Below are 25755 nucleotides of genomic sequence, written 5' to 3'. Positions count from 1 at the left end.
TGGGGATGCGTTGAAAAGGGAACACTTTTACACTGCTGGTGGGAATGTAAACTAGTACAAACACTATGGAAAACAGTGTGGAGAGTCCTTCAGGAAACTAAAAGTAGAACTACCATTTGATCCAGCAATCCCACTACTGGGTATCTACCCCGAGGAAAATAAGTCATTATTTTAAAAAGATACTTGCACACAACGTTTATGGCAGCACAATTTGCAATTGGAAAATATATAAAACCAGCTCAAATGCCCATCAATCAACGAGTGGATAAAGAAATTGTGGTGTATATGTATACCATGGAATACTACTCAGCCATAAAAAGGAACAAACTATTGGCATTCGCAGCAACCCGGATAAAATTGGAGACCATTATTCTAAGTGAAGTAACTCAGGAATGGAAAACCAAACATTGTATGTTATCATTCATAAGTGGGAGCTAAGCTATGAGGATGCAAAGGCATAAGAATGATACGATGGTTTTTTTTGTATGTCAAAGATATAATTGATATTTGGATAGTGAATTACAAGATTTTCATCAGAACAAAGGTCAGCTCAGCTGGTAAACACTGTCACACTCATAATGACAGCCTGCCCACACTCTGCATCTGTTCCCCAGAATGTTCCCTCACTTGTTCTACTGACTGAACTTTTCCACCCAGCTGAAAATCCATTTTTGTTTCATTTTCTCTTCTAGCCATAAAACTATTAATAGATTCAAATGAAATGCATAGTCCAGACATACCTTGCCACTCAATCAACTGATAATTCCTGAGAAATACTCTCTGGTTTGAATTGCAGGAAGAAGTTACAGGAAGAGATATTTATTTCTTAGAAATGGAGTTATCGAGCATCTGCTGTGAGCCAGACACTTAGTAGTAAACACAAAGCTGCTGTCAGTGAACTGGCAGACAATGAGAAGTGGCCATGCTATGGCTATTCTGTGAGAGTAGAGGCATGGGGTTGTCCTGTCAGTCATGTGAAGAGTGTGATGGAAAGACAAAGGCCAGGAATCACACTGATGTTTCTGTATAAAAGAAAGGAAGGGAGGGAGGGAAGGAGAAAGGGAATAAATGCGGATCTTCTTAAAAGAAAACACCGGTTATCACTACATGGCATAAAACCATGGCACTGAAAGTTATGCATTCAATGAATATTTATTGAGCACTTACCTTGTGACAGGCAATTTATGTGGTGCAGGGATGTTCCAGGATAGAGAGGTGACTGAGCAAACCCACCTTGCTGTATAGAGTGTTAGAACATCGCTGGAGGAACAGGAAAAACAGAACACAAAATAGAAAGAGTGCTCTGTAACAAGAAGCATGGTTGCTGGGTTCCAAACTGTGATTAAATTTTTTAAAAATTTTAACTGTATTATGACCTTTATTTTTAAAATGTTTATACAAATCATTTAAGTAATATAATACCTTCTTGTGGGTAAAATTCAAACATTACAGATTTATACCTTGACCTCATTTCTTCTAAACCCAGTGTCCCCCCCTACAAGGAATGCCTTCTTTTGACATTTTCTAGTGCATTTATGAATGTTTGTGTGTACTTATGAGATCAATTTTATTTTTTTGTCGTTAAAATAATTGGTCTCGTATTATGCATGTTTTCTTCATGCCTTTTCATACTACAGCATTTCTTGAAGATATAGCCATGCCAGTACTGATAATTTTGTTTTTCTTTTATATATAGTCTATGTACTGGCTACTTAATTAAAAACTGTACTGTAAAAAATTTCAAATGTTTGCAAAAGGAGAGAACTGTCATCCCCAGATTATTTTAGAGCAAATCCCAGATATTATATAATTTCATACACAAAACCTAAAGTTTTTCGGGGGAACAGTGTGTGCTTGGAAAGATGTAGTTGAAAAGAAAGACTGAAAGCAAGTCGTAGGGCATAATGGATTTCTGAAGAAATAGTTGCAACCAGCAGAAGTATGGGCTATTGTGCAGAGGATATGGAAGTTAAAGAAGATCAATCTCTCTGCATCACTGAAAGGATTGCTGGAATGCCTGAGAAGTAAATAACATCAACATCTTTATCCACAGCTTACTAGGTGGCCAGACGCCCTGAACTGATATTTCTTCCCCAGTTCAGATGAATAGCTGGGATATTACTCAAAATTCTATTGCATATCTGTTGCAAGGAAAAGCAGTTCCTCTTTCCCTTCTGTGGTAATTTCTTACAAGCTACAGTTCTGGGCAGGGTGTGAGGGTGGTTGCCTAGAACGGGGTTTCCAAAGCTCCTTAATTGTGGCCTCTGACCCTTTTCATTGCTTCCATGTCCATACCCAGAGTCAAAACCCAAGGAATGCAGTGGGATGACATTACAAATTAATCTTAAGGAAATACGTTATATACCAAAAGAACTGTGTGATTGTGCTGATTTATATGAGCAGAATCTTGGAGTGCATGCTTGGAAATGAATTGTCAAGGTTTTAGATCAGGGAAAGTGGAATTTATTGTCGGGTCAAGCACAACTAATATTAATGCTAATGCATCCTCATCGCTTAGCTCCCACTTATGAGTGAGAAATCTCACCTTTCTCCAAGAATCTGCAGGAGAACGACAGCCTCAGATTTTGATTCACATGAAAAGAAATAGGGAAATAAGAGGGCGTACCTAAAGCCCAGGTGTCTGAGAGACAGAGTGGGAGTGGCTCTCACCTGGCAGAGCCAAGGGATCTGAGGGTGGGTAAAGAAGACACAAGTGTTTTCTCTACTTCTGTCCCCAGGTCCTGCGAATGATCAAGATCTATGCTCTCCCAGAACCACTGGAGAAGGAGGAGGAGGATTTTCTTTCAAAGCCAAGTGCCTTGCCCCCAGGATCTCCAGCTTTTTACCATTGCACAGGTTAGGAGAACGCACACCTTCCTGGTAGATTCTGCACAGTGGAGAAAAGGCTTCATGAGAAGCATGGAGGCTGGAACTCACACCACTCATCCTCACTCCATCGTCTTTATCTGTGCATTTCCCTGGTGACCCCTTCCTCCTCCAGTACCTCCCTCACTGTCGTTTCTGCTGCATCACAGGCACAGGCCTCCAAACAGGTGTGGTTGTGACTGAGTCTGTTTCTGACACCCCACCCCTTCTCACTGTGTGAGGAAACCTTCCTGGGAGGGGCTTGGAATCAGGAATAAAGCCAGAGGCAGGGCTGATAGGGGCCATTTAAATTCTGCAGCTCAGAGATTCACACAGAAGTCTGGACACAATTCAGAAGAGCCACCCAGAAGGAGACAACAATGTCCCTGCTACCCGTGAGTTAAAAAGGCACAGCCTTCAATAATCTCAGGTCACACAGAAAAGGGAAGAGGGAGATTTTATGGGATGAAAATATGAAAATTTCTACTGTGAATGCTTTACTGAGAGTTGTGGGTGTGTGGAAGAGAGACCCTAGGGCTATGGTATCTGAGATGCTCCTGGGGTAGGGGGGTAGGGGGTGTGGATGCTGGAACATTGTGACCCTCTGTGAGCATGTGATGGTATCTGATGAGAGTAAACTCTGCTAAAAATGATGTGACTTTAGACGGGATGTGTATGGCCCTCCAGGATATGGGTGGGTGTGTAAGTGATTGTAATCAGGTGACTGTGTTTTGTCTTCATGACTGTGATGTGAGTGTGTGTGTGAGCACAGCCGGACCAGTGCATGAGCATCTTTATATGCACAGTGAGCAGGTGTGTGTGACTCAGTGAGTGGCACGGCTCTGTGTGACTGTGAGTGTGTGTGCTGGAATGTGACTGGGTGTTGAACTGGGAACATGCATGTGGCCTTCTGTGCATGTGAAGGTTCCTCCCCACATAGCAGTACTCTGTCTAACTTCCCTTGTGCATCACTGTGGATCCCCGGTGACAGAACTTGTGGGATCTTGGGGCCCTTGAGTTACCGAGGACTTATCTCTGAGCATTTATGAGAGCAGAATGCATGAATTCTCAGGTGCCTTTTCCCAAGCAGAATGGGGGTGAGAAACAGACGATGGGGCTGATGGTTCCTTAGGTGGAATCTGCACACAGTGACCACTGGCTCCTGCCTCCAGCCTCAGGTCTCTCCCTGTCTCCTACCCTAGCCTGGCCTTCCCATTGAGTGCCAGGATGCTAGAGAAGGACATTGAGGGACTTGATTTAAGAGACTGAATCACCCAAAACCAGGAAGGTACAAGGCAGAGCTTACAGTGGATATTCATCAAGATGTTTGCTGAGGCCTGTAGTCTCAGCACTTTGGGTGGCCGAATTGAAAGGCCCATGTCAGGCCAGGACTGGTAGACCAGCCTGGGAGACATAGCAAGATTTCATCTTTCCAAAAATTTAAAAATTTATTGAATGTGGTGTTGCATACCGTAGTTCCAGCTGCTGGGGGGCATATGCAAGAGGTTCACTGAAGCCCAGGCCTTCAAACCTGCAGTAATTTTTTTTTTTTTTTTTTGAGACAGAGTCTCGCTCTGTTTCCCAGGCTGGAGTGCAGTGGTGCAATCTCGGCTCACTGCAACCTCCACCTCCCGGGTTCAAGCGATTCTCATACCTCAGCTTCCCGAGTAGCTGGGATTACAGGCTTGTGCCACCACTCCTGGCTAATTTTTGTATTTTCAGTAGAGATGGGGTTTCTCCATGTTGGCCAGGCTGGTCTCGAACTCCTGACCTCAAGTGATGCACCCACCTTGGCCTCCCAAAGTGCTGAGATTACAGGCGTGAGCCACCACGCCCAGCCTGCAGTGAGTTTTGATGGTGCCACTGCATTCCAGCCTAGGTGACAGTGTGACCCTGTTTCAAAAAAGAAAAATACCATCCATTTATAGATTCTAGCCAATAACTTCCCTGACCCACAATCTTCATTTGTGCAAGTACTGCGGTTGTGCTCTCAGCAATGTGTGCCCCTTCTGGGAAGGACGTCCATTGCCCATGATGATTGTGATGTATGTGCCTCCCACGCACAGGGGTTTCCTGTTCTTTCCTGTTCGTTTCCCTCTCTCTTTCAACAAGTGTTGTTTCTTTCTTTCTTTTTTTTTTTGGTGGTTAAAATGATAATAAAAAATAAAACTCACAATCTCAAGTTAGAAAAGATGCAGAGTACCTGAAACAGTCAAACGATGCTTGGAGGGATGTAAAATGATACAGCTACATTGGAAAATCGTTTGGTATTCCCATAAAATTAAACATAAAATCACCAAACAAACAGAAACACTTTACTCACCAGATTTTAGCCAAGTAAACACTTTAGTTTATGGAAAATCCTATACAGAAATGTTTATAGTGTCATTATTTGTAGCTGTTCTCAAATTGAAACTAACCCAAAGTTGTTGTTTCTTACTGGAGTGAATCTCTCTACTGTTACATCCTCACATCTTGTTTTCACAGTTTCAGAGTTGAAGATGATCGCAGGTCAGTGTTCCACAAGGACCCTCCTTGTTCAGATAGAGGACCCCCAACAGGCCCTATACGTGCCAGGGTTTAGGCTAAAGGGTTTACATCTATTAACTACTGTATAACTGAAAACATGATACAAAGTAGGTATTTCGGATTATCATCTTTGTATTGGGAAAACTGAGGCAGGGAGAGTTTAAGCAATAGATCTAAGGTCCCCTTGCTGGTTGGGCAAAGTGGCTCACCCCTGTAATCTAGGAGTTTGGGAGGCTGAGACAAGAGGATCCCTTGAGCCTAGATGCTCCAGACCAGCCTGGGCAACATCGTGAAACCCCAACTCTCCAAATACGTATAAAATTAGCTGGGTGTGGACCAATAGTCTCAGCTACTCAAGAAACTGAATTGAGAGGATGGCTTGAGCCTGGGAGGTTGAGGTTGAAGTGGGCTGTGATTGTGCCAGTTCACTACAGCCTGGGTGATTCAATTAGACCCTGTCTAAAAAAAAGGTTCAAAACATGTTAACATCTCACTGCTAGTAGTCAGCACAATAAAGGATCTAATTGAGGTAGCTCAGTTTCTGAAGCTCTGCTCTTAACCATGGGCCCCATTGTTTTGAAAAATACGGGGTCCTGACTGAGGTAGGGTGGGAGCAGGGAGGCCTGAGTCTACTGCTTGATCTCTAACTGGCTGCACCATGGGAATCTGTTACAGGAGGGGAGGCCACACCTGGCCCTGCCTCTCTCACCCACTCTCAATCCCCTGGCAGGTGCCATACACAGAGGCTGCCTCTTTGTCTACTGGTTCTACTGTGACAATCAAAGGGCGACCACTTGCCTGTTTCTTGTGAGTACTCCATGGTGCAAAGATGGGAGGTGGAGAAGAGGAAGAATATTTTCTAAGGGGGTGACCTCATGTGTGAATCATGTGGAAAGTCTAGTTGGCAGGATGGAAGTGCCATGAATGTGCAGGTCCTGGAGACCCTCCAGCACCAGGAACAAAACCTACAGCAGCTGCACTGGGGGCTAGTCATGGGTCTAGGAGTAAAGGACACTCAAGGCTTGGGGCTGTGACACTTTATCTATTAAAAGGCATAGAATATTCAGAAAATGGGCAATTCATATGACCAAGTCAGTGACTATGGCTCAGTTTCCATCTGTGGATGAGGGCTGGAGCATCTCTTTCCACCCATGGAGAACACAAGGAGCTGAAGCAGCCCCACAATGACAAGGCCTAGAATACCAACAAGTCTTTGCTCGACCACGGAAGGGGCAAAGAGACTTGTGTGTGTGTCTTGTGTGTGCCCCACAAGAAAGGGACCTGCTCAACACTGTGTGCTCTGCCCTCAGGAATGAACCATATCTGCAGGTGGATTTCCACACTGAGATGAAGGAGGAATCAGACATTGTCTTCCATTTCCAAGTGTGCTTTGGTCGTCGTGTGGTCATGAACAGCCGTGAGTATGGGGCCTGGAAGCAGCAGGTGGAATCCAAGAATATGCCCTTTCAGGATGGCCAAGAATTTGAACTGAGCATCTCAGTGCTGCCAGATAAGTACCAGGTGAGCACCCCAGGAGCTCCCCGCACCCGGCTTCCATGGGATCTCAGAGCAGGAGGCAGCTCTTCATGCCCTAACTCCAGATAACTCCCTCTGTCCCCGGCTTTTCATCACCCACAACTCCCCTTATCCCAGGCTTTTCATCACCCATAACTCCCCCTGTCCCAGGCTTTTTATCACACACACAGGGGTTCCCTTTACTTTTATCATTTCCCTCTCTCATTCAACAGGTGTTGTTGCTTGCTCTGCCATCACCTCTCCTTGCACTGCCATCCTCAGCTCTTTTCCCATACCTGACCAGGGTCAATGTCGGTTCACTTGCCATTTTCCCCAAATGGAGAATATCCTCTATCTTCCCCTTATGATGTTATTTAAATTTTCATGTAGCTAAATGGATAAGATATACACATGAATAAAATTGTTTTAGTCAGTCCAATATGAAGACTTCTCACTCCTCAATCCCAATCCTCAGAACAATATTACTAGCTTCTCTACTCTTCTTCCATAGTCTATCCTTATAGAAGCATATACATACACCCATATATACACTTTTATTTGTTTTTAAACAAATGCTGGTATCAATGTCCCTACACATTACACTTTAGGAATGACAGTTGAGTTGTACTCAAAGAATATATATTGGAGAAATAATCTATCCATGGTGCTGCCTCATTTTTTTAAGGATTACATAATATTCCCCTAGAAGGATTTCCTCAACTTGCTGTACTTGACCCTTTACAAGAGCACTGAGTTGGTTTCCAATGTTTTGCTCTCACAAATGTTACTGTATTAAGCTTTCTAATCAACCCTTTTTTCATTGCCAACTTTTCCCTATTTATATTGGAACATGATTATAAAGAAAAGGAATAACTGGTTCAAAGTTGTATGGATTTTAAATTTGAGAATGAAACCTAAAATATGACTCCCTGTGTAGCCTCAGTAATAAAGAATGTGATCAAAGTTTCTGACATTTCAAATGGGTAGGCCAAAACATTCACATTTTATTCAGATTAAAGTCAGAGGTGTTTTTCTATGTTTATACGCTGTTAAAGATAATATCCTCATAGTGGTTTTGATTTGCATTTCTCTGATGGCCAGTGATGATGAGCATTTTTTCATGTGTTTTTTGGCTGCATAAATGTCTTCTTTTGAGAAGTGTCTGTTCATGTCGTTCGCCCACTTTTTGATGGGGTTGTTTGTTTTTTTCTTGTACATTTGTTTGAGTTCATTGTAGATTCTGGATATTAGCCCTTTGTCAGATGAGTAGGTTGCGAAAATTTTCTCCCATTTTGTAGGTTGCCTGTTCACTCTGATGGTAGTTTCTTTTGCTGTGCAGAAGCTCTTTAGTTTAATTAGATCCCATTTGTCAATTTTGTCTTTTGTTGCCATTGCTTTTGGTGTTTTGGACATGAAGTCCTTGCCCAGGCCTATGTCCTGAATGGTAATGCCTAGGTTTTCTTCTAGGGTTTTTATGGTTTTAGGTCTAACGTTTACCGTCTCACACCAGTTAGAATGGCAATCATTAAAAAGTCAGGAAACAACAGGTGCTGGAGAGGATGTGGAGAAACAGGAACACTTTTACACTGTTGGTGGGACTGTAAACTAGTTCAACCATTGTGGAAGTCAGTGTGGCGATTCCTCAGGGATCTAGAACTAGAAATACCATTTGACCCAGCCATCCCATTACTGGGTATATACCCAAACGACTATAAATCATGCTGCTATAAAGACACATGCACACGTATGTTTATTGCGGCATTATTCACAGTAGCAAAGACTTGGAACCAACCCAAATGTCCAACAATGATAGACTGGATTAAGAAAATGTGGCACATATACACCATGGAATACTATGCAGCCATAAAAAATGATGAGTTCACGTCCTTTGTAGGGACATGGATGAAATTGGAAATCATCATTCTCAGTAAACTATCGCAAGAACAAAAAAACCAAACACCGCATATTCTCACTCATAGGTGGGAATTGAACAATGAGATCACATGGACACAGGAAGGGGAATATCACACTCTGGGGACTGTTGTGGGGTGGGGGGAGGGGGGAGGGATAGCATTGGGAGATATACCTAATGCTAGATGACGAGTTAGTGGGTGCAGAGCACCAGCATGGCACATGTATACATATGTAACTAACCTGCACAATGTGCACATGTACCCTAAAACTTAAAGTATAATAAAAAAAATAAATAATAAATAAATAATTTAATAACCATAAAAAAATAAATAAAGATAATATCCTATGTTTTGTAACATTAATCCAGCCCCACCTCTCTAAGAACACTTGAGTTACATTCCTTGCCGCCACTAGCTCAAATATGAGCAATTCCAGAGAGAAACTGGGTCATCAGCAGCAAATAGCAGTCATAATTTATGTAACTGAAATGTGTGCATTCAGTGGACATTGTTGAGCACTTACCCTGTGGCTGGCCCTGTGCAAGATGCAGGGATTCAAGTTTATGAAACACAGTCCCTGGCCTTGGAGATCTTCCAGGATAGAGGGGAGGCTGAGCAAATATGGCCCATGTGACAGAGAGTGACAGAGCCTCACTGGAGAAATGAGAGGAAACATTGAAAATACAGTGAGCAACTGTCTCAGATAGTTACAACAGGTAGTCTGTAAAAAAGAAGTGTGTCTACTGGGTTCAGATATATAATGAGGCATTTTCTGGTTGGATGTTTCAGGTACTATGACACCATAGAGAGCAGGCTGAAAGCTTGTTTGGTGAAATACTGTCTTTCTGATGTATTTTTTTCCTTCTGTAGGTAATGGTCAATGGCCAATCCTCTTACACCTTTGACCATAGAATCAAGCCTGAGGCTGTGAAGATGGTGCAAGTGTGGAGAGATATCTCCCTGACCAAATTTAATGTCAGCTATTTAAAGAGATAACCAGACTTCATGTTGCCAAGGAATCCCTGTCTCTACGTGAACTTGGGATTCCAAAGCCAGCTAACAGCATGATCTTTTCTCACTTCAATCCTTACTCCTGCTCATTAAAACTTAATCAAACTTCACAGAATTTGGTTCTTGCTTTCATGGGGAGAAAAAGTGGTCATCATCAAGAGGGCTTGGGGGATTTTATAGATGGTGTGAACAAGTCAAGGAGGATAAATCTTCCTGAGACACAAAAAGTAAGTGAAAAGGCCACTGAAATGTCTGAGAAGGCATTAGCAACCACATCCTTCTATAGCATCGACTATATGTCAGACACTCTGAACCAACCCTACCCAATTTCATATGAGTCACTGAGGTGTAAGCAATGGGATTGGGGGCTTGAATAACTGATCCATGACAGGGTGGGTGGGGCTGGGTCTGAGCTGAGCAGAACTGAGTAGGAACCTCACTCTTTACACTGAAAACAGAGGAGTAAGAACACTTGGGGGCTCCCATTACCCTACCTGAACTCCAAATCTCATATGTCCCTTCACTTTACTAGGAAAAATGCCAAGAAGAAAATCTCCAGAGAAAGAAACTCATATGCTCGTCCCCTCAGTTCAGGAACAAGGGGTATACAACACCATTTCTCGAAAGGTAGAGCCCAAATGCAGAAATCTGATTTGTTCATTTAAAGAATGCTCATGGGTGACCATGCCCTTCTCCCATCCTCTTTGCAAACCGAGAAAGGAAAAAGTCACTCACAGAGAAGAAGCTGTAGGCTCAAACAGTGAAAAGGGGAGATACTACTTTACAGAGTGTAAATCTTGGTCATAGACGGATAGAAGGCAAACCCTTTGATCAGGGCACACAATGACAGCTCTCACTGATGGTCTCTCCTGTAGGCCTCATTCATCTCCACCCACAGACACAAGGTTAGGACACCTCCATTTCCACTGCCTCCCCTCACCCAGTAAATCCTAACCATTGATCTCAGAAAACCCCTCCGGATGCCCCAGCCTTATCGAGAGTAAATGTTCTCCCTGGAGTGTCTCATTTGGGGAGAATTCTGGGCCAGCCCCCTCCATCTGAAATGCTTTAAAGACTTTAATCCTCAGAGTGTCTTGATCCCTGTCTTCCCAGTAGGTCTCTGTGTTTATTTTGGACAATTTATTTCTATTCACCAGTCAGAAAGGCAGACACTTTCTTGACATTTCAGGGATTCAATTGGCTTTTTGGCCACTCTCCTTGAAATAAGAAATTATCGGCACGAGGAGATCAGGATAATTTTGCAGAGAAGGCAATGTTTCAATAGCCTCAAGCTAGAAGTCATTCAATATCTATCAAGAGTAAACTGCTGAGTATGTCTTGGCCAATTTATAAAACTCCAGAGTGGAGATAAGTGAAAAGGAAGGATCTATAGCTCCACACGGCAACATAGATGAATCCTAAAAACAGAAATGTTTTAGAAAAGATGCATGACCCAATAAAAAAAATCCAAGATAAACACCTACAGGCAAAATTAAACAAAGTAATAAGACGAAAGCAAAGCAAAAAAGAAAGGCAGGAGCATGGTTGCCAGTAGGGGCAAGAAGGTCACGTGATAGGGAAGGGACACATAGGAGTCCATGTGTGTTAGCAACAAGCCACGAGTACAATTGTGGTGGCTAAATGAGTGCTAGTTTAATCATGAATTTATCATAATATACATTTTTTGTTAACTTGGATGAAGTTTTCAAAAATAGTTTAAATTCACAGTCAATAAAACTGAAGAGTAAAATAAAAAGAAAGGAGGGAGGGAGAGGGATTTGAATTCATTTCTTCTTTAAATTCCTATACAGATTTTAAGGATGTTTTCTGTTATAACAAAAAGAGAACTTGAGGAGGGGTCCTGAGTCCTCCACCCCAAGTGAAGACTGCGTTGTAGCTGAAGTCTGATCACCTGCCCCTGTCCCTGTCTTCATGCAGGTTTTGAGCTAAGTAGCACACAAATCAAGCGCTAGACTTAGGAATCTCACCTTTCTCCCAGAATCTGAGTCTCTGAGATTTTATTGCACATGGACACCCAGAGAAAAATGAGAGAGTGTGGATGGAGCCCAGGTGTGTGAGAGATGGAGTATGAATGGCCCTCACCTGGCAAAGGCAAGGGGCCTGGATGGAGTCAGGATGACACAGAGACTCTCTATACCTCTCTCCCCAGGTCCTGTTGAGGATCAAGGTCTATGGTCTCCCAGAACCTCTGGAAGAGAATGAGAGAATTTTTTTTCCAGGGCTGGCTGTTTTGCCTTAAGAATTCCCATTTTTAAAATATCGCACAAGTGAGAAAAATTCACTCATTCCAGGTGAATTCTGCACAGTGGAGGAAAGGCTTCATGAGAAGCATGGAGGCTGGACTTCACAACCCCTCACCCTAACTCCATCATCCGGATCTGCACATTACCCTGGTGACCCCTTCCTTCCCCTGGTACCCCCATCACTGTCATTTCTGCTGCATCACAGACATAGGGTTGCAAACAGGTGTGGTTGTGACTGAGTCTGTTTCTGACACTCCATCCCTTCTCACTCTGCAGGGGAATCTTGCTGGAAGGTGGCTGGAATCAGGAATGAAGCCAAAGGGCAGGGCTGACAGGGATCATTTAAATGCTTCAACTCCAAGAGATTCACACAGAATACTGGACACAATTCAGAAGAGTCACCCAGAGGGAGACAACAATATCACTGTTACCCATGAGTTGAAAAGGCACAGCCTTCAATAATCTCAGGTCACCCTAAAAAAGGAAAGAGAGATTTTATGAGATGAAAATATGAACATTTCCATTGTGAATGATTTACTGAGAATGGTAGGGGTGTGGAAGAGAGACACTGGGGTAATGGTATCTGAGATGCTTGTGGGGTGTGGTGTGTGAACCCTGGATCAGTGTAACCCTCTGTGGGCATGTGATGATGTCTGAGGAGAGGAAACTCTGCTGAGACGATGTGACTTTAGGTGGGACATGATTAGCCCACCAGGATGGGGGAGTGTGTGAGTGAATGTAAGGGGGTGATTGTGCTTTGTCTTCATGACTGTGATGTGTGAGTGTGAACACAGCCATACCAGTGCATGAGCATCTTTATATGCACAGTGAGCAGGCCTGTGTGACTCAGTGATTGGCGTGGCTCTGTGTGACTGTGGGTGTGTGTGCTGCGATGTGACTGGGTGTTGAGCTGTGAACATGCATGTGGCCTTCTGTGCATGGGAAGGTTCCTCCTCACACAGTAGCGCCTCTGATGAAGCAGCTGTGCATCTTCCCACATATGTCAATGTGGATCCCGGGTGGCAGAACTAGTGGAGATCTTGGGGATCATGAGTTACCGGGGACTCGTCTCTGAGCATTCATGAGAGCTGAATGCATAAATCCTCAGGTGACTCTTTCCAAGCAGAGTGGAAAAGAAGAACACAGTCTATTGGGGCTGTTTCTTCAGGTGGGATCTGCACAGAGGGACCACCAACTTCTGCCTCCAGCCTCAGGTCTCTCTCTGTCTCCCAGCCCAAGCTGTCTATCCCGTTCTGGGAGAAGAGGGTGAGCAGATTCTGGCTTACTAGGGAATGACATTGGGGGACATGGTTTTAGAGACAGAATCATCCAAAACAGAGAAATAACCAGTTTAGCTTTAGTTCAGGAAGAGCTTACAGTGGATGCTATTCAACAACTTGCCAGAGGCTGTGGCTCATGGCTGTAATCCGAGCACTTTGGGAGGCCGAGTTGGGAGGATCGCATGGGGACAGGAGTTCCAGACCAGCCTGCGTAAAGTAGTGAGACCTTGTATGTACCAAAAAAATTCAAAACTAGCCAAGCCTGTTTGTGCGCATTTTTATTTGTAGCTACTCGGGAGACTGAGGTAAGAAGATCACTTGAGTCCAGGAGTTTGAGGCTGCAGTGAGCTCTGATCATGCCACCGCACTCCAGCCTGGGTGACAGAGTAAGGCCCTGTATCCACAAAAAGAAAGAAAAAAAGAAAAGCAAACCAGACAACAACATAAAAAAAATTGTAATTTGCATATTCATTCCACACACAAGGGTTCTCTGTTCTTTTGTTATTTCCCTATTTTTATAAAACCGTTCTCACTGGGTGAATTTCTCTGTTTTCACATCCTCAGGTCTTGTTTTCAGCACTTCAGAGTTGAAAATGAATGCAGGTTAGTGTCCCATAAGGACGGTCCCCATTCTGTGGTGCAACCCCTAACTGGCCCTGTACATACCGGGGATTAGGGCAAAGGTTTCACACATATTAACTCCTCTGTTACTGGGAAAACCCTACAAAGTAGGAACTCCTTATACTCCTCCTTGTTCTGGAGAAACGTAGGTGGGGAGACTTCAAGTTATGGATCTGAGATTGCACTGCAAGTAAGAGGCAGAATCAGAACTGGAATCCAGGCAGCTTGGCTCCAGAACCCTTGCTCTTACCTATAGGCCCCCAATTTCTTCAAAAATATGAAACCTTGACTGTGGTAGTGTAGGGGGAGCAGTCCTCAGAATTTGCCCTTCGATCTCGAAACTCTTGCACTATGGGAATCTGTTATAGGAGGGGAGTCCACACTTGGTCCTTCCCTTCTCACCCACTCTCAATCTCCATAGGAGGTGTCACACACACGACCTGTGTCCTTGACTATTGGTTCTGTGACATTCAGAAGGACAGTGTTTTTACTTTCTTGTGAGTACCCCATGGTCCATGGCAGGATGATGGAAGAGAAAGGAGAATATTTGCTAAATGCTCACCTCATGTGTGAGTGGTGCGCAAATGTCTAGTTGGAGGATGGAGGCATCATCCAAGTGCAGGTCCTAAAGACCCTCCTGCACCAGGCACGAAACCTGCATTAGTTGCACTGTGGGCCAGTCATGGGGCCTAGGGGAGGAGGATACTCAGAGGATTGGGGCTGTGGCTCTTTACCAAGTGGCATTAAGTTTTCAGTAAATGGACAACTCATAGGACAAAGTCTGTCATTGTGTCTCAGTTTTTATCTAGGGATGAGGGGCAGAGCATCTCACTCTTGAAGGGTACAAGGAGCTGAAGCAGCCCCCCAGGGATAAAGCCTGCAGTGTCATCAGGAAGGCTCCTGTTTGGCCTGGGAAAAGGTGGAAAAGGGTTGGTGTGTGTGGAGTGTGTGCCCAACCTGCTGTGTGCTTTGAGCTCAGCAAGGACCCACAGCTGCAGGTGGATGATTCCCATACTGGAACCAATGAGAAGTCAGACATTGCCTTCTATTTCTGAGTGTACTTTGGTCATTATGTGGTCATGAACAGCCATGTGTGTGGGGCTTGGAAATGTGAGGTGAGATGCCACAATGAGCCCTTTGCAGATAACAAACCATTTGACTTGTGCATTTTTTCTTAATGATAGTGTACTTAAACTTACAGAATGAACAGTCCAAAGTAAAGGGAGAAGAGAAGGTTAAAGCAACATTCTTTAAAGCTGGAAGCCTAAATCTCAAATCATAATGAATGAGACCTAGCCTATGTTAAACTTTAGTGTAGGCTCTTTCTCTGGTTTTTGTACACACACACACACACACACACACACATACTTTATGTTCCGGGGTACATGTGCAGAACGTGCAGTTTTGTTATACAGGTATACATGTGCCATGGTGGTTTGCTGCACCCATCAACCTGTCACCTACATTAGGTATTTCTCCTAATGTTATCCCTCCCCTAGCCCCCAACCCCCAGACAGGCCCCTGTGTGTGATGTTCCCCTCCCTGTATCTATGTGTTCTCTTTGTTCAACTCCCACTTACAAGAGAGAACATGCGGTGTTTGGTTTTCTGATCTGTGATAGTTTGCTGAGAATGATGGTTTCCAGCTTCATCCATGTCCCTGCAAAGGACACAAACTCATCCTTTTTTTCTGGCTGCATAGTATTCCATGGTCTATATGTGCCACATTTTCTTTATCCAGTCTATCATTGATGGGCATTTGGGTTGGTTCCAAGTCTTTGCTATTGTGAATACTGCCACAAGAAACATACATGTTCCTGTGTCTTTATAGTACAAATATTTATAATCCTTTGGGTATATACCCAGTAATGGGATTGCTGGGTCAAATGGTATTTCTAGTTCTAGATCCTTGAGGAATTGCCACACTGTCTTCCACAATGGTTGAACTAATTTACACTCCCTCCAACGTGTAAAAGTGTACCTATTTCTCCACATCCTCACCAGCATCTGTTGTTTCCTGACTTTTTAATGATTGCCATTCTAACTGGCATGAGATTGTATCTCATTGAGGTTTTGATTTGCATTTCTCTAATGACCAGTGATAATAAGCATTTTTTCATATGTTTGTTGGCTGCATAAATGTCTTGTTTTGAGAAGTGTTTGTTCATATTCTTCACCCACTTTTCATTTGGGTTGTTTTTTAGTTGTAAATTTGTTTAAGTTCTTTGTCGATTCCGGATAATAGCCCTTTGTTAGATGGATAGATTGCAAAATTTTTCTCCCATTCTGTAGGTTACCTGTTCACTCTGATGATAGTTTCTTTTGCTGTGCAGAAGCTCTTTAGTTTAATTAGATCCCATTTGTCAATTTTGGCTTTTGTTGCCATTGCTTTTGGTGTTTTAGTTATGAAGTCTTTGCCCATGCCTGTGTCCTGAATGGTATTGCCCAGATTTTCCCCTAGGATTTTTACGGTCCTAGGTCTTATGTTTAAGTTTTTGATCCATTTTGAGTTGATTTTTATATAAGGTGTAAGGAAGGGGTCCAGTTTCAGTTTTCTGCATATGGCTAGCCAGTTTTCCCAATACCATTTATTAAATAGGGGATCTTTTCCCCATTGCTTGTTTGTGTCAGGTTTGTCAAAGATCAGATGGTTGTAGATGTGTGGTGTTATTTCTGAGGTCTCTGTTCTGTTCCTTTGGTCTACATATCTGCTTTGGTACCAGTACCCTGCTGTTTTTGTTACTGTAGCCTTGTAGTATAGTTTGAAGTCAGGTAGCATGATGCCTCTAGCTTTGTTCTTTTTGCTTAGGATTGTCTTGGCTATGCAGGCTCTTTTTTTGGTTCCATATGAAATTTAAAGTAGTATTTTCCAATTCTGTAAAGAAAGTCAGTGGTAGCTTGATGGGGATAGCATTGAATCTATAAATTACTTTGGGCAGTATGGCCATTATCATGATATTGATTCTTCCTTTCCATGAGCACAGAATATTACTCCATTTGTTTGTGTCCTCTCTTATTTCCTTGAGCAGTGGTTTGTAGTTCTCCTTGGAGAGGTCCTTCACATCCCTTGTAAGTTGTATTCCTAGGTATTTTATTCTCTTAGTAGCAATTGTGAATGGGAGTTCACTCATGATTTGGTTCTCTGTGTTATTGGTGTATAGGAATGCTTGTGATTTTTGCACATTGATTTTGTATTCTGAGACTTTGTTGAAGTTGCTTATCAGCTTAAGCAGATTTTGGGCTGAGAAGGTGGAGTTTTCCAAATATACAATCATGTTATCTGCAAACAGAGACAATCTGACTTCCTCTTTTCCTATTCCAATACCCTTTCTTTCTTTCTCTTGCCTGATTGCCCTGGCCAGAACTTCCAATACTATGTTGAATAGGAGTGGTGAGAAAGGGCATCCTTGTCTTCTGCCGGTTTTCAAAGGGAAAGCTTCAGTTTTTGCCCATTTGGTATGATATTGGCTGTGGGTTTGTCATAAATAGCCCTTATTATTTTGAGATATGTTTCATCGATACCTAGGTTATTGAGAATTTTTAGCATGAAATTTAGCATGAAAATTCTGTTGAATTTTATCGAAGGCCTTTTCTGCATCTATTGAGATAATCATGCAGTTTTTGTCATGGGTTCTGTGTATGTGATGGATTATGTTTATTGATTTGTATATGTTGAACCAGCCTTGCATCCCAGGTATGAAGTCAACTTGATGATGGTGGATACGCTTTTTGATGTGCTGCTGGATTCAGTTTGCCAGTATTTTATTGAGGATTTTTGCATCGATTATCATCAGGGATATTGGCTGAAATTTTCCTTTTTTGGTGTGTCTCTGCCAGGTTTTGGTATCAGGATGATGCTGGCCTCATAAAATGAGTTAGGGAGGATTTCCTCTTTTTCTATTTTTGGAATAGTTTCAGAAGGAAAAGTACCAGCTCCTCTTTGTACCTCTGGTAGAATTTGGCTGTGAGTCTGTCTGGTACTGGACTTTTTTTTTGATTGATAGGCTATTAATTACTGCCTCAATGTCAGAACTTGTTATTGGTCTATTCAGGTATTCAACTTCTTCCTGCTTTAGACTTTGGAGTGTGTATGTGTCCAGGAACTTATCCATTTCTTCTAGGTTTTCTAGTTTACTTGTGTAGAGGTGTTTATAGCATTCTCTGGTGGTAGTTTGTATTTCTCTGGGATCAGTAGTGATATCCCCTATATCATTTTTTATTGCGTCTATTTGATTCTTCTCTCTTTTCTTCTTTATTAGTCTTGCTAGCAGTCCATTTTGTTGATATTTCAAAAACCAGCTCCTGGGTTGATTTTTTGAAGGGTTTTTTGTGTCTCTGTCTCCTTCAGTTCTGCTCTGATCTTAGTTATTTCTTGTCTTCTACTAGCTTTTGAATTTGTTTGCTGTTGCTTCTCTAGTTCTTTTAATTTTGATGTTAGGGTGTCAATTTTAGATCTTTCCTGCTTTCTCTTGTGGGCATTTAGTGCTATAAATTTCCCTCTACCCACTGATTTAAATGTGTCCCAGAGATTCTTGTACATTGTGTCTTCATTCTCATTGGTTTCAAAGAACATCTTTATTTCTGCCTTCATTTTGTTATGTACCCAGTCGTCATTCAGGGGCAGGTTGTTCAGTTTTCATGTTGTTTTGCAGTTTTGAGTGAGTTTCTTCATCCTGAGTTCTATTTTGATTGCACTGTGGTCTGAAAAACTGTTTGTATATAATATCTTTTTGAATTTAGTCAATATGTTCATACAGTTTCCTTTGTAATATTTTTACAATTTTTCTCCAATTTGTTTAAATCTTCAGTTTTCTCTTATGTAAGGCAATTTTTTATTCTTAGAAAAAATGTATGTTTTCATGTCTTCTTATTATCTTTTACTAAACACGTTTTACTGTTTTTATATACCTTGTATATAAATATATTTTCAGTAGTCTCAATTGTGTGTCATAAAGGCAATTCTTAGCAATTTTTAACCTGAATGTAAAACCTAGTAAGTTTTTTAAATTATGTGCTAGGTGTAGGTAGAGTTTGACTCCTTCCAGTATAGTTAGGGGCATGGTTACTTCCATATGTTCCTAGACCTTATCATTTGTGAAGTAGGCAAGTTGACAGTTTTTAAAAGGCCAAAAAAAGTAGTTTACAACCTTAAAACATTTAGTAAATGTAGTACATGACCTGTGTAATTTAGACCATATTTTTACATCTTGAAGATATTTGTATTTTACCAATAATATTTAAGACTGGTTTTTCCTAAAATGTTTTAATTTAAATGAGAAAGTTATTTTATAATTAGTAAAAACATACAAAAATTTATAAAAACTAATAATCCACTTACAAATATTATTAAACAATATTTTATTTTCAGTCATTTCTATTTAGAGAAAATAGGAAGTTATTTCTAAAAATGTACTATACTAAATACACACACATACACACACACAAACACACACGTCACTTTTCCTTTCCTGCCAAGAGGATAGAAAGCCATCATAAGGCTAGATCTGCAGAGGAGCAGTCTTCATGAACCAATGACGGTTTGCTGATAAAGGAAGCAGATAGTAAAGCATGGATAAAATTAACCTACCTATGGTAACCACATTTTATGGATCTGCAACTGGAAGAGGTGGTTTATGATCAACTGAAGCCTCATCTTCTACTATTTCCCTGTCCTCCTCAGGTTTTTATTCCAAGTTTCTATTTTCAGATTCTTGAAAGTCTCATATGATTTCCTGCCTCTGCACCTTTGCAATTTCTGTTTTCTCTTCCTAGACTCCCCAGAATTGGTATCAGTTTTGCAAACAAAATTTGTAACAATAGGGTTCTCTGGCTGGTATAGTTTATAATAGAATATTTGTTTTTTGATAGTCCACATTTTCTACCCTTGGTTTTTTTTTTTTTTTTTTTTTTGTATATGTTACCTTTACAATCAGAATACAGATTTATTTTTGAGACAGGGCCTCACTCTGTCACCCAAGCTGGAATGCAATGGCAGAACTGTAGCTAGCTGCAGCCTCAATCTCCTGGGCTCAAGTGATCCTCCCACCTCAGCCTCATGAGTAGGTGGGACTACAGGCCTGCCACCATGCCAAATTTTTAAAAAAATTTGAATAGAGACGAGATCTCGTCGGCTGGTCTCCCAACTCCTGAGCTTAAGCAGTCCTCCCACCTCAGCCTCCCAAAATGCTAGGATTACAGGTGTCAGCCACCACACCCAGCCCAGATTTTATTTCTTTGCTTTTACTCATCATCTATATTTTCATGTGGTTTGACAGATTGGCAGAAGAAAAAGCTTGCTTGAAAAGTCAGTTTTGACTTAACTTCAGAGTGACAAATTGAATTAAATATGAAGCTCAGATCTTAAAATTTCAGCATGTATATAGCTGTTCATTGTGTTTTATTTCTTATGTTTTTCTTTTACTTAGCCTTTATGCTGAGCATCCTCTATTTTAGCATTTCCCCAAATAGCACCTTTCTGAGAATTACTTGCTTAAGGAAAAAATTAACTGCCTGCTCCATATATATATATATATATATATATATAATTTTTTTATTAATATACTTTAAGTTCTGGGATACATGTGCAGAACCTGCAGGTTTGTTGCATAGGTATGCACGTGCCATGGTGGTTTGGTGCACCCATCAACCCGTCACCTACATTACATATTTCTCCTAATGCTATTCTTCCCCTAGCCCCCCACCCCTCTACAGGCCCCAGTGGGTGACGTTCCCCTCTGTGTCCATGTGTGCTCATTGTTCAGCTCCTACCTATGAGAACATGTGGTGTTTGGTTTTCTCTTCCTGTGTTACTTTTCTGAGAATGACGGTTTCCAGCTTCATCCATGTCCCTGCAAACGACATGAACTCATCCTTTTTTATGGCTGCATAGTATTCCTTGGTGTATATGTACCACATATTCTTTATCCAGTCTATCATTGATGGGCATTTGGCTTGTTTCCAAGTCTTTGTTATTGTGAACAGTGCTGCAACAAATATATGTGTGTATGAGTCTTTATAGAAGAATGATTTATAATCCTTTGGGTATATACCCAGTAATGGGATTACAGTTTGGTGACTTAGTTTGCTTTGCTATAAAATTGGCATAATAGGGGGTGGAGCCAAGATGGCCCAATAGGAACAGCTCCAGTCTACAGCTCCCAGCGTGAGCGATGCAGAAGACAGGTGATTTCTGCATTTCCAACTGAGGTACTGGGTTCATCTCACTGGGGAGTGCTGGACAGTGAGTGCAGGACAGTGGGTGCAGAGCACCGAGTATGAGCCGAAGCAGGGCAAGGCATTGCCTCACCCAGGAAGCACAAGGGGTCAGGGAATTTCCTTTCCTAGTCAAAGAAAGGAGTGACAGACAGCACCTGGAAAATCGGGTCACTCCCACCCTAATACAGCACTTTTCCAACGGGCTTAACAAACGGCACGCCAGGAGATTATATCCAGCACATGGCTTGGAGGGTCCTACACCTACGGAGCCTCACTCACTGCTGGCACAGCAGTCTGAGATCAAACTGCAAGGTGGCAGTGAGGCTGGGGGAGGGGTGCCTGCCATTGCCAAGGCTTGAGTAGATAAACAAAGTGGCTGGGAAGCTAGAACTGGGTGGAGCCCACCACAGCTCAAGGAGGCCTGCCTGCCTCTGTAGGCTCCACCTCTGGGGGCAGGGCACAGACAAACAAAAGGCAGCAGTAACCTCTGCAGACTTAGATGTCCCTGTCTGACAGCTTTGAAGAGAGGAGTGGTTCTCCCAGCACGCAGCTTGAGTTCTGAGAATGGGCAGACTGCCTCCTCAAGTGGGTCCCTGACCCCCGAGTAGCCTAACTGGGAGGCACCCCCCAGTAGGGGTGGAATGACACCTCACAGGGCCAGGTACTCCTCTGAGACAAAACTTCCAGAGGAATTATCAGGCAGCAGCATTTGCGGTACACCAATATCTGCTGTTCTGCAGCCACTGCTGCTGATACCCAGGCAAACAAGGTCTGGAGTGGACCTTCAGCAAACTCCAACAGACCTGCAGCTGAGGGTCCTGGCTGTTAGAAGGAAAACTAACAAAGAGAAAGGGCATCCACACCAAAAACCCATCTGTACGTCACCATCATCAAAGACCAAAGGTAGATAAAACCACAAAGATGGGGGGAAAACAGAGCAGAAAAACCAGAAACTATAAAAATCAGAGTACCTCTCCTCCTCCAAAGGAACGCAGCCCCTCACCAGCAACGGAACAAAGCTGGACAGAGAAAGACTTTGACGAGTTGAGAGAAGAAGCCTTCAGAAGATCCAACTACTCTGAGCTAAAAGAGGAAGTTCAAACCAATGACAAAGAAGTTAAAAACCTTGAAAAAAAAAATAGACGAATGGCTAACTGGAATAACCAATGCAGAGAAGTCCTTAAAGGACCTGATGGAGCTGAAAACCATGGCATGAGAACTAAGTGACAAATGCACAAGCCTCAGTAACCGATGCGATCAACTGGAAGAAAGTGTACCAGTGATGGAAGATGAAATGAATGAAATGAAGAGAGAAGAGAAGTTTAGAGAAAAAAGAATAAAAAGAAACGAAGAAAGCCTCCAAGAAATATGGGACTATGAGAAAAGACCAAATCTATGTCTGACTGGTGTACCCGAAAGTGACAGGGAGAATGGAACCAAGTTGGAAAACACTCTGCAGGATATTATCCAGGAGAACTTCCCCAATCTAGCAAGGCAGGCCAACATTCAGATTCAGGAAATACAGAGAATGCCACAAAGATACTCCTTGAGAAGAGCAACTCCAAGACACATGATTGTCAGATTCACCAAAGTTGAAATGAAGGAAAAAATGTTAAGGGCAGCCAGAGAGAAAGGTCGGGTTACCCACAAAGGGAAGCCCATCAGACTAACAGCTGATCTCTTGGCAGAAACTCTACAAGCCAGAGGAGAGTGGGGGCCAATATTCAACATTCTTAAAGAAAAGAATTTTCAACCCAAAATTTCATATCCAGCCAAACTAAGTTTCATAAGTGAAGGAGAAATAAAATCCTTTACAGACAAGCTAATGCTGAGAGATTTTGTCACCACCAAGCCTGCCCTAAAAGAGCTCCTGAAGGAAGCACTAAACATGGAAAGGAAAAACCGGTACCAGCCACTGCAAAATCATGCCAAATTGTAAAGACCATCAAGGCTAGGAAGAAACTGCATCAACTAACGAGCAAAATAACCAGCTAACATCATAATGACAGGATCAAATTCACACATAACAATATTAACCTTAAATGTAAATGGGCTAAATGCTCCAATTAAAAGACACAGACTGGCAAATTCGATAAAGAGTCAAGACCCATCAGTGTGCTGTATTCAGGAAACCCATCTCACGTGCAGAGACACACATAGGCTCAAAATAAAGGGATGGAGGAAGATCTACCAAGCAAATGGAAAATAAAAAAAGGCAGGGGTTGCAATCCTAGTCTCTGATAAAACAGACTTTAAACCAACAAAGATCAAAAGAGACAAAGAAGGCCATTATATAATGGTAAAGGGATCAATTCAACAAGAAGAGCTAACTATCCTAAATATATATGCACCCAATACAGGAGCACCCAGATTCAAAAAGCAAGTCCTTAGAGACCTACAAAGAGACTTAGACTCCCACACCATAATAATGGGAGACTTTAACACCCCACTGTCAACATTAGACAGATCAACAAGACAGAAAGTTAACAAGGATATCCAGGAATTGAACTCAGCTCTGCACCAAGCAGACCTAATGGACATCTACAGAACTCTCCACCCCAAATCAACAGAATATACATTCTTTTCAGCACCACACCACACCTATTCCAAAATTGACCACATCGTTGGAAGTAAAGCACTCCTCAGCAAATGTAAAAGAACAGAAATTATAACAAACTGTCCCTCAGACCACAGTGCAATCAAACTGGAACTCAGGATTAGGAAACTCACTCAAAACTGCAAAACAACATGGAAACTGAACAACCTGCCCCTGAATGACGACTGGGTAAGTAACGAAATGAAGGCAGAAATAAAGATGTTCTTTGAAACCAATGAGAATGAAGACACAACATACCAGAATCTCTGGGACACATTTAAATCAGTGGGTAGAGGGAAATTTATAGCACTAAATGCCCATAAGAGAAAGCAGGAAAGATCTAAAATTGACACCCTAACATCACAATTAAAAGAACTAGAGAAGCAAGAGCAAACACATTCAAAAGCTAGCAGAAGGCAAGAAATAACTAAGATCAGAGCATAACTGAAGGAAATAGAGACACAAAAAACCCTTCAAAAAATTAATGAATCCAGGAGCTGGTTTTTTGAAAAGATCAACAAAATTGATAGGCCGCTAGCAAGACTAATAAAGAAGAAAAGAGAGAAGAATCAAATAGATGCAATAAAAAATGACAAAGGGGATATCACCACTGATCCCACAGAAATACAAACTACCATCAGAGAATACTATAAACACCTCTACGCAAATAAACTAGAAAATCTAGAAGAAATTGATAAATTCCTCGACACATACACCCTCCCAAGACTAAACCAGGAAGAAGTTGAATCTCTGAATAGACCAATAACAGGCTCTGAAATTGAGGCAATAATTAATAGCTTACCAACCAAAAAACGTCCAGGACCAGATGGATTCACAGCCGAATTCTACCAGAGGTACAAGGAGGAGCTGGTACCATTCCTTCTGAAACTATTCCAATCAATAGAAAAAGAGGGAATCCTCTCCAACTCATTTTATGAGGCCAGCATCATCCTGATACCAAAGCCTGGCAGAGACACAACCAAAAAAGAGAATTTTAGACCAACATCCTTGATGAACATTGATGCAAAAATCCTCAATAAAATACTGACAAACCGAATCCAGCAGCACATCAAAAAGCTTATCCACCATGATCAAGTGGGCTTCATCCCTCGGATGCAAGGCTGGTTCAACATACACAAATCAATAAACGTAATCCAGCATATAAACAGAACCAAAGACAAAAACCAGATGATTATCTCAATAGATGCAGAAAAGGCCTTTGACAAAATTCAACAATGCTTCATGCTAAAAACTCTCAATAAATTAGGTATTGATGGGACGTATCTCAAAATAATAAGAGCTATCTATAACAAACCCACAGGCAGTATCATACTGAATGGACAAAAACTGGAAGCATTCCCTATGAAAACTGGCACAAGACAGGGATGCCCTCTTTCAGTACTCCTACTCAACATAGTATTGGAAATTCTGGCCAGGGCAATCAGGCAGGAGAAGGAAATAAAGGGCATGCGATTAGGAAAAGAGGGAGTCAAATTGTCCCTGTTTGCAGATGACATGATTGTATATCTAGAAAACCCCATCGTCTCAGCCCAAAAATCTCCTTAATCTGATAAGCAACTTCAGAAAGTCTCAGAATACAAAATCAATGTGCAAAAATCACAAGCATTCTTATACTCCAATAACAGACAGAGAGCCAAATCATGAGTGAACTCTCATTCACAATTGCTTCAAAGAGAATAAAATACCTAGGAATCCAACTTACAAGGGATGTGAAGGACCTCTTCAAGGAGAACTACAAACCACTGCTTAATGAAATAAAAGAGGACACAAACAAATGGAAGAACATTCCATGCTCACGGGTAGGAAGAATCAATATCATGAAAATGGCCATACTGCCCAAGGTAATTTATAGAATCAATGCCATTCCCATCAAGCTACCAATGACTTTCTTCACAGAATCGGAAAAAACTACTTTAAATTTCATAT

General features: G+C 42.0%; 1 protein-coding gene across 1 annotated transcript, besides 1 other annotated feature; it reads left to right on the top strand.

Annotated features, from left to right (window-relative positions):
• CLC (Charcot-Leyden crystal galectin) lies at positions 3169-9943 on the top strand. Its single transcript, NM_001828.6, has 4 exons — positions 3169-3260; positions 6125-6201; positions 6705-6915; positions 9693-9943. The coding sequence occupies exons 1-4, from the start codon at positions 3246-3248 to the stop codon at positions 9816-9818; spliced, it is 429 nt and encodes a 142-aa protein (NP_001819.2). The 5' UTR covers positions 3169-3245; the 3' UTR covers positions 9819-9943.
• Positions 14040-14089: an enhancer, noted in NCBI's record as "active region_14630". NCBI's record gives its function as "activates an Ori minimal core promoter by ATAC-STARR-seq in GM12878 lymphoblastoid cells {active_cell/tissue: GM12878}" and the evidence as "EXISTENCE:reporter gene assay evidence [ECO:0000049][PMID:35858748]".

The sequence above is a fragment of the Homo sapiens genome, chromosome 19, assembly GCF_000001405.40.
Source record: "Homo sapiens chromosome 19, GRCh38.p14 Primary Assembly".
Lineage (NCBI taxonomy): Eukaryota > Metazoa > Chordata > Mammalia > Primates > Hominidae > Homo > Homo sapiens.
The sequence above is the reverse complement of the archived record's forward strand: the minus strand, read 5'-3'. Positions and strand labels throughout refer to the sequence as shown.